Source organism: Homo sapiens, chromosome 10, assembly GCF_000001405.40.
Source record: "Homo sapiens chromosome 10, GRCh38.p14 Primary Assembly".
Classification (NCBI taxonomy): Eukaryota; Metazoa; Chordata; class Mammalia; order Primates; family Hominidae; genus Homo; species Homo sapiens.
In genome coordinates this window covers 111,129,030-111,138,337 of record NC_000010.11, presented here as the reverse complement: position 1 = coordinate 111,138,337, position 9,308 = coordinate 111,129,030, and the positions used below count along the sequence as shown (strand labels likewise).

General features: G+C 38.9%; 1 annotated feature.

Moving 5' to 3' along the window:
• Positions 777-1,462: an enhancer, noted in NCBI's record as "OCT4-NANOG hESC enhancer chr10:112896634-112897319 (GRCh37/hg19 assembly coordinates)". NCBI's record gives its function as "activates a minimal SCP1, AML or CMV promoter by ChIP-STARR-seq in naive H9 embryonic stem cells {active_cell/tissue: H9 hESC(naive)}" and the evidence as "EXISTENCE:reporter gene assay evidence [ECO:0000049][PMID:30033119]".

Here is a 9,308-nt window from a genome sequence, read left to right as displayed (position 1 = left end):
AACTACTGCAACTTAGAATATCCCTCAGAAACTTGAAAAAATATCCAAAAGTATCCTGTAGGTAATTTGAAAGCTAGTTTATGGTTTATAGAATGTTTATCACAAGCACATTTTCAGACACACAGGTTTACCAATTTTCCTAGCATCGTTGCCTGCTGAGAAAGGGTGGTCAGGGAACAAGGTGCTGAAAGGAGCCCTGTGTTCTCAGTAACTCATTCAGAACCTTTCCTTAAACAGGTACTCAGTGCCAATAGATAAAAGTCCAAATGCCTCAGCCTTCCCTCTATGAATCTTATCAAGCTCAGTCTCTAGCCACTTCCCACATTAATCTTCCATTTCTGCATATTGCAAGCTTCTAATCATCCTCCAGCCACTTCCCACATTAATCTTCCATTTCTGCATATTATAAGCTTCTACTCATCCTCCAATACCCCACTCCAGTGTCCCCTGCTCAGTAGAGCTTTCAGTGATCTCTGTAAGGTGAGATCATTGTTACTACATCCCCGCTGCCACAGTACTTTGTACAATTGTCTACCATAACCCTTCTTACATTCCATGCTAGTTAAAGGTTTAGGTATCTGCCTCCACTGTTACTCATGAATAGTGAGCTGGGCAAGGGTCAGGGTCATGTCCTGGTCAATTTTAATTTTAAATCTCGAATACCTCGTACATATCAAGTACCAAGTCAATATTTTTGAGTGCACATATAAGTTAATAAATAAACTTCAACGTTAGTTAAAAAAAAAATCATCTGGCTAAGTAAATATTAGCTCCTTCCTCAGTGTCATCATTGTCAAGAACATTAAGATCCCAGCAATAGAGCCTGTGTAACTAAAAAAAAAAATAACCAAGAAAAAGAAATTGAAAAGCATAATATCTTTCCCAAGATAAGATTTTTAAATATGCAGGTCCTATTTCTAACTGAGAAAACCATCTGCGGACGATTTTCTTGCATTGTTCTCCTAAATGGTCAATGGCACTCAAGAGGCTTTCTTGGAGGTCTGAGATGGAATTACTTTCCTCACGTGATCCATCTCTTCACAATGAAATTTCAAAAGCACACAGGCCACTTGAAAGTTGACTCCTGCTTTTGGGCAACACTGGAGGTTGTGTTCACAGGGAAGGCACAGAGTGGGCTCCTGGTAAATATTTGCAGCACAATGAATGTTTACTATTGTGTGAGGCGCTCTCCTGTGGTGCTGTTGGAAGTCAATTATTCACACGCCTCTGATTCAACCACCTCAGTTACGAAGGAAAAGGCAGTATTACAAGGAAGAAAAGCTTTCAGTCAGATGACCCAAGTTTAAGTCCTGGCTCTGACACTAACCACCTGGGTGACTTTGGGCAAATCACTTGCCTCTCTGGGTAACAATTTCCTCATTTGTAAAATAAAAGTATCTCCCCACGCCTTGTTGTAGGGGTTCCACAGGATCAATACTTGAGAAGTTATAGTAGACCCCCTTATCCTTACTTTCACTTTCCACAGATTCAGTTACCTGAAGTCAACTGCAGTCTAAATATAGGTTGAATACAGTACCATAAGATATTTTGTGAGAAAGACTGCATTTACTTACTTTTATTATACTGCATTGTTATAAGTGTTATATTTTATTAGTTACATTTGCTAATCTCTTACTCTGCCTAATGTATTAATTAAACTTCATCATAGGCGTGTATGTTTAAGAAAAAGCATAGTATATATAAGATTTGGTACTACCTGAGGCCTCAAGAATCAGCAGGATGTCTTGGAACACATGCCCCTCAGATAAGAGGGGAATTGCTATATGTCACCCAGGCCAGGCATGGTGGTCAATAGATATCTGTCGTGTATACAGACCATGCTTCTGTGGCTTTGCTAGATTTCTTTTCTGACCTTTAGCTTTGGGACCCAGAATTGTATTTGTATCTATCTCACAAACATCCAAAACAAGAGGATGAAAAAAGAGCAGAGAACAGAACTGAAGGATTAACTCTATGGCAGAAAAGGTGTCTTGTCTGAACTAGAGACAGGACCAAGGGAAAGCATCTGGGCAAAACATCTCTCTCACATGAGATGCTGAGTATGATACTGGGAAAAATTAGCAGGAAAAAAATCCATTTATTTTGTTTATATAAAATTTGACAAAGTTCCTTCCTTTATGGTAACCAGTTACTATTTGTGCCCAATTTTATGCACATGCACATTATCAAATATCTGCTGGTTTCACCTGACTATATGTCACTATGCTTGCTGAACCTGCATAATGTGTCACTTGTTTGTTGAAGTCAGACAGTTTTTATTTTAAAGAATTAAAACAATGTGTTTGCTCTTGTTCCAAGACATTTGTGATATTTGTGACCAAGAAAAGAGCAACTTTAAATATATATATGTATTATATATATATTAATTGCCATTCTAACAGGTATAACCTATTATTACCTATTAATATAACCAAATATTAATTGCCATCCTGATAGATATAACCATTTATATAACTATATATATATAGTTATATAATTAAACCTATTAGGATGGCAATTAACCAAGAAAAGTGGAAAATAACTAGTGTTGGCAAGGAAATGAAGAAATTGGAACCCCTGTGCTTTGCTGGTAGGAATGTAAAATAGTGCATCCATAGCCCACAGACACTATATAGCAACTACACAATCAAGTTTACAAAATAGCCAGCTAACAATATGATGACAGAATCAAAATCTCACATATCAATATTAACCTTGAATGTAAATGATCTAAATGCCTCCACTTAAAAGGCAGGGAGTGGCAAGTTGGATAAAAATTAAGACCTAACTGTCTGCTGTCTTCAAGAGACCCATCTCACATGTAACAATACACACAGGCTCAAAGTAAAGGGATGGAGAAGATCAATCAGGCAAATAGAAAACATAAAAGAGCAGGGGTCACTATTCTTATATAATGTAAGGACTTTAAACCAACAACAGTGAAAAAGGACAAAGAAGAATATTACATAATGATAAAAGGTTATATTCAACAAGAATATAACTATCCTAAATATATACACACCAAACATTAGAGCACTAGACTCATAAAGCAAGTTCTCCTAGACCTATGAAAAGACTTAGACAGCCACACAATAATAGTGAGAGGCTTCAACACCCCTCTGACAGTGTTATACAGATCATAAGGCAGAAAACCAATGAAGAAATCCTAGACCTAAACTCAACACTTGACCAATTGGACCTAATAGACATCTACAGAATACTCTACTCAACAATCACAGAATATACATTTTTCTCATCTGCACATGGGACATATTCTAATATCAACCACATGTTCAGCTATAAAGCAAGTCTCAGTAAATTCAAAAAAATCAAAATCATACCAAGCACATTCTCAGACCACATTGCAATAAAAATAGAAACCAATACCAAGAAGATCTCCTTGAATAATTTTTGGGTAAAAAATGAAATTAAGGCAGGAATCAAAAAATTTTCAAAATAAATGAAAACAGAGACACAACATATCAAAATCTTAGGATGCATCTAAAGCAGTGTCAAGAGGAAAGTTTAGAGAGCTAAATAGCTACATTAAGAAGTTAGAAAGATCTCAAATGAACAATCCATCATCGCACCTAGAAGAACTAGAAACATTTTTTATTTAAAAAAAAAAAGCTAGCAGAAGAAAAGAAATAACCAAAATCAGAGCTGAATTGAATGAAACTGAGATGCAAAAAAATCCATACAAAAGATCAATGAAACCAAAGGTTGGTTTTTTGAAAGGTTAAACAAAATGTATACACTACTACTTAGATTAACAACAACAACAAAAAAGAAGATCCAAATAAACACAATCAGAAATGACAAAGATGACATTACAACCAACACCACAGCAATACAAAAGATCCTCAGAGACCATTATGAACACCTCCGTTCACACAAATCAGGAAATCTCAAAAAAATGGATGAATTCCTGGAGACACACAACCTTCCAAGATTGAATCAGGAAGAAATTGAAAACCTGAACAGACCAATTACAAGTTCCAATATTGAATCAGTAATTTTAAAAAAACAAAAAAACAAAAAAACTACCAACCAAAAAATGATCTAGACCAGATGGATTCACAGCCAAATTCTACCAGGCATACAAAGAAGAGCTGGTACCAATTCTACTGAAATTATTCCAAACATCAAGGAGGGACTCCTCCCTAAATCATTCTACAAAGTCAGCATTATGCTGATACCAAAAGCTGGCAGAGACACAAGAAAAAATACTCCAGGTCCATATTCCTGATGAACATAGATGCAAAAATCCTCAAGAATATACTGGTAAACTGAAGTCAGAAGCACATCGGAAAGATAATTCATCACACTCAAGTAGCCTTTATCCCTAGGATGAAAGGTTGGTTCAATATACACAAATCAATAAATGTGATTCACCATATAGACAAAATTTAAAACAAAATTCATACGATCATCACAATAGATGCAGAAAAAGCTTTCAATAAAATCCAATATTGCTTTATGATACAAACCCTCAACAAACTAGGCAGCAAAGGAACATACTTCAAAATAATAAGAGCCATCTATGACAGACCCACAGCCAACATGATACTGAATGGGCAAAAGTGGAAACCATTCCCCTTGAGAAGTGGAACAAGGCAAGACTGCCTACTCTCATCACTCCTATTCAATATAGTACTGGAAGTCCTAGTCAGAGGGCTCAGGCAAGAGAAAGAAATAAAAGGCATCCAAATAGGAAAAGAAGTCAAGATATGTCTCTTCACTGATAATATGATTATACACCTTTAAAAAAACTCTGAAGACTCCACCAAGTGACGCCTAGAGCTGAGAAATGACTCCACTAAAGTGTCAAAATACAAAATCATTGTACAAAAATCAGTAACATTTCTATACACCAATAATGTTCAAGCTGAGAACAAAATCAAGAATGCAATCCCCATTCACATTAGCCACAAAAAAAACTAAAATACCGAGGAATACAGCTAACCAAGAAGGTGAAAGATCTCTAAAGGAGAATTACAAAACACTGCTGAAAGAAATCAGAGATGACACAAATATTTGGAAAAACATCCCATGCTTATGGATTGGAAGAATCAACATCACTAAAATGGCCATACTGCCCAAAGCAATTTACAATTCAACATTATTGCTATCAAGCTACTGATGTTGTTTTTCACAGAATTAGAAAAAAATCCCTTCTAAAATTCATATAAAACCAAAAAAGAACCCAAACAGCCAAAGCAATTCTAAGCAAAAAGAACAAAGGTAAGTATCATATTACCTGACTTCAAACTATACTACAAGGCTACAATAACCAAAATAGCATGGTACTGGTACAAAAACGCATAGACTAATGGAACAGAATAGAGAACCCAGAAATAAAGCTGCACACCTACAATCATCTGATCTTCAACAGAGTTGACAAAAATAAACTATGGAGAAAAGACTCTCTGTTCAATAAATGGTGCTAGGATAACTGGCTAGCCACATACAGAAGAATGAAACTGGACCCATACCTATCGCCATATACAAAAATTGATTTGAGATGGATTAAAGACTTTAATGGAAATCTTCAAATTATAAAAATTCCAGGGGAAAAAAACTAGAAAATACCCTTCTCTATACCGGCCTTGGCAAATAATTTATGGCTAAGTCCTTAAAAGCAAATGAAACAAAACTAAAAATTGACAAATGGGACCTCATTAAACTAAAGAGCTTCTGCACAGCAAAAGAAACTATAAAGGGAGTAAACAGACAACCTGCAGAATGGGAGAAAATATTCACGAACTATGCATCCAACAAAAGTCTAATATCCAGAATCCATAAGAAACTTAAATTAACAAGCAAAAAACAAATAACCCCATTAAAAATTGGGCAAAGGACATGAACAAACACTTTTCAAAAGAAGATAGACAAGCAACCAACAAACATATGAAAAATTCTCATCATCACTAATCATCAGAGAAATGCAAAAGCCACAGTGTGATAACATCTCACACCAGTCAGAATGCCTTTTGTTAAAAAGTCAGAAAGTAACAGTTGTTGGTAAGGGTGTAAAGAAAAGGGAATGCCTATACACTGTTGGTGGGAATGTAAATTAGTTCAGCCACTGTGGCAACTAGTTTTGAGATTTCTCAAACAACTGAGAGTTGAACCACCTGATTCAACTCAGCAATCCCATTGCTGGATATAAACCCAAAGGAAAATAAATCATTCTACCAAAAAAATACATGCGCCTGTATTTTCATCACTGCACTACCCACAAGAGTAGACATGGAATCAACCCAGGTGCCCATCAACAGTGGACTGGATAAAGAAAACGTGGTACATATACACCATGGCATACTACACAGCCATAAAAAAGAATAAAATCATGTCCTTTGCAGCAACATGGATGCAGTTGGAAACCATTAACCTAAGAAAACTAACACAGAAAAACAGAAAACCAAATACTATATGTTCTTACTTATAAGTGGGAGCTAAACATTGAGTACACATGGTCATAAAAAATGGGAACTTAAAAAAAATATATATATATTGCATTTCAGTGACAACACAGTGATGAGGATAGTTCTCAATTTCCCTTTAATTGTTTCAATACAATAGCTGGCAAGCTGGCAATGGGGGACACTTCCCAAGCTGGCCAACTTTAGTTCCTTTCTGGAAACCTGCACCTGGAAGATTCTGAAGGGACATGATTTTCAATTCCTCCTCTGGAGTGTCCGAAACCTTGCCAACAGAATTGGCAAAATGTGGAACTAGGCCATTCTTCTCCAGAGCGTGGGACTTCTCTGGCTGGCCCTGCGCTGAAAACCCCACTCCGTAGTCCTGTCCTGAGCTTCCATATCCGGCCACCAAAATGACCTGCTGGGGCTCCTGAAGATGGCGTTAGGTAACCAGAACTAAGTCAACAAACTGGGGTTATCAGCTTAATAGTTTAACAGGCTGACTCGCCCAGAAAACATATTTGCATTTTCACTGGGCTTTCTGGAAATAATAGTTTAAATCAAAGGAGCAAATCCCTTCTCTTGACAAATATTTGTTGATTATGGGACACACAGCTACAGAATACTTTTCCTTTCAAGGAGACAGTTCACCTGTTGCAGGTGGCTGTCGTTAAGGTCTGAGTTAACCTGCCCCAGTCAAAAGAACAGAAAGCTGGGTGGACACAGATAACCAAGGGCCCCTGTCTGAACACTCGTCACTTGCTTATAAGAGACTCTTGGACTCTCTGAGCATTGGTCCCCCGGCTTTTGTAAAGGAAATTCTCGGGCTGTAAAGGTCTTTTCAGTTCTAAATTGAAATTGAAATTCACCAGCTCAGCTCCAGCCACTCAAGCCTGTCAGGTTACCCACCTGAAACACATTCTCTACAAGATCGATGGGTAAATAACACTGCCTTCCCACCCAGTTAATCTCGTAGGTTGCCTGAACAAAAAGTGAGGCATCTGCAGCTTTCCTCCTCCGTGTGTTGTGGTTATTGGATTACCCCTCACACACACACACACACACCCCACCAAGTTCCCAGATAAATTCCCTTAACTTAAAACTTAACCTTTGAAACAAACCGAAATTCATTCTCAAGTGAGCTGCAGTAAGGCCCAAGAGGCACCTTGCTTTCCTGGCTGAAAGCAGGCAGGATGCACATCCCAAGGTGGCTCTTGGTCCAAGCGGATGAGGGATTCATTGTCTTAGCACCCTTAAAGGAGGCAGGAAAGAACACGGGGAGGAGAAGGAGGAGCTATAGCAACCTGTCCCCACTCTGCCCAGCCCCTCAGGTAGCTCAGGGCCCGAAAAGCAATTCTAGCACAAAGGAGTCAAGATTCTCTCATGGAAGCAAGGGAGAGAGGACTGAAAGGGAACCCTGGGATCAGGGCAGGACCCCCGCTACCCATGAGGCTGACTGAATTAGTCCACCCAAGAGCATGAGAGTAGCTGCCTACTCTTAAGCACTCAGGCAGGTCAAGCATGTGCTGTATTCTTTATGGGCATTACCTCATGTAATTTTCAAGTAAGGCAGAAACTATCCTTTTCTCTTTATAAAGGATGGAACTGAGACACAAGGAGGTAGACTGACCCTGCAAGAAAATAAAGTCATAGCTTCCGTCAGATCCAAAAAACAGGCTGAAAACATTTTTGATAGGCTCAATTCATAGAATTCCTTTCACTCACTAGTCCGCAAAGCGTTTCTCATTTTGCCAATTAAAAGTGGTTGCTTCTCTGCAGCTCCCAACCTAGAACACTTTCCCCTTCCTCTGCCCTTCTTAGGACAGATGTGAACACCCTTCACAGCCCTCTGGACTGGCCTTGGAGGGCCTTGTCCATTGTGGATCCCAATTGAGCTGAGCCCAGTGCTGGAGCCAGACATGCATGATGACACATGGAAGACACAGGAGGAAACCATGAGAAAACAGGATGTTTTGCAGAACATCGTTCCCAGGGATGCTAACAGTGAGAAGATGACCGAATACCCTGTTCCCATCCTCCAGGCCAGAGGGCTGGCACGGTTGACCCTTACCTGTTGTCTATAACTAACACCAAGGCTGGACCTTGTATCACATAAACCCATGTATGTTCTTAGTCTTATGGAGTCATTTGCCTTGAAAATATCCAACAGCTGTGCATTCCACAGTCAATTGTATATTAATCATGCATCATAGGGGAAAATGCCATCGTTGCTTCCAAATCTGCTAATATGCAGACGGGCACCCAGCTTCTGAGCTGCAAGGGAAGAGAGGCAGGTCTCCAAATTCCAGCTGGCTCCTTTCGGCTTGCTGCAAAGCCTCAGACATCTGGCTAGGAAGATTGGCTAATGTGCCGTCCCTTGGCTGTGGTGTGCATGATTACATAGAGGTTTGAGCACCACTTGACAAAGCCTCACTTGCTCTCTTCAGCCCTGCGATGATCTGAGACGCCCACCTCAGCTCACCTCTTTTCCTTCTTTTTTTTTTCTCTTTCTTTCTATTTCTTTCTTTCTATTTCTTTCTTTCTGTCTGTCTGTCACTCTTTCTGGCTCTCTCTTTCTCTCTCCCACTCCAACAATTCAGGGCAGTGTATGTCAAAAAAACAAAAATAGACTGGAAACATTAATTTTTAACAGTTCCTATTTGCTGAAGACCTATTATGCACCAGGGACTTTGCACGTACTGGTTCTAAGCCTTATCAGCACTCTGCCAGCTGAGCAGTATTATCCCCATTTGCAAATGAAGAAAACTGAAGCAAATGGAAATTAAGTGACTTTCCCAAGTCATGCAGCTGGGAAGTGGCAGAGCCAAGATTCAAACCCTGATCTGGTTGATTCTCTCATGACACATTCTTTTCTGTCCCGCA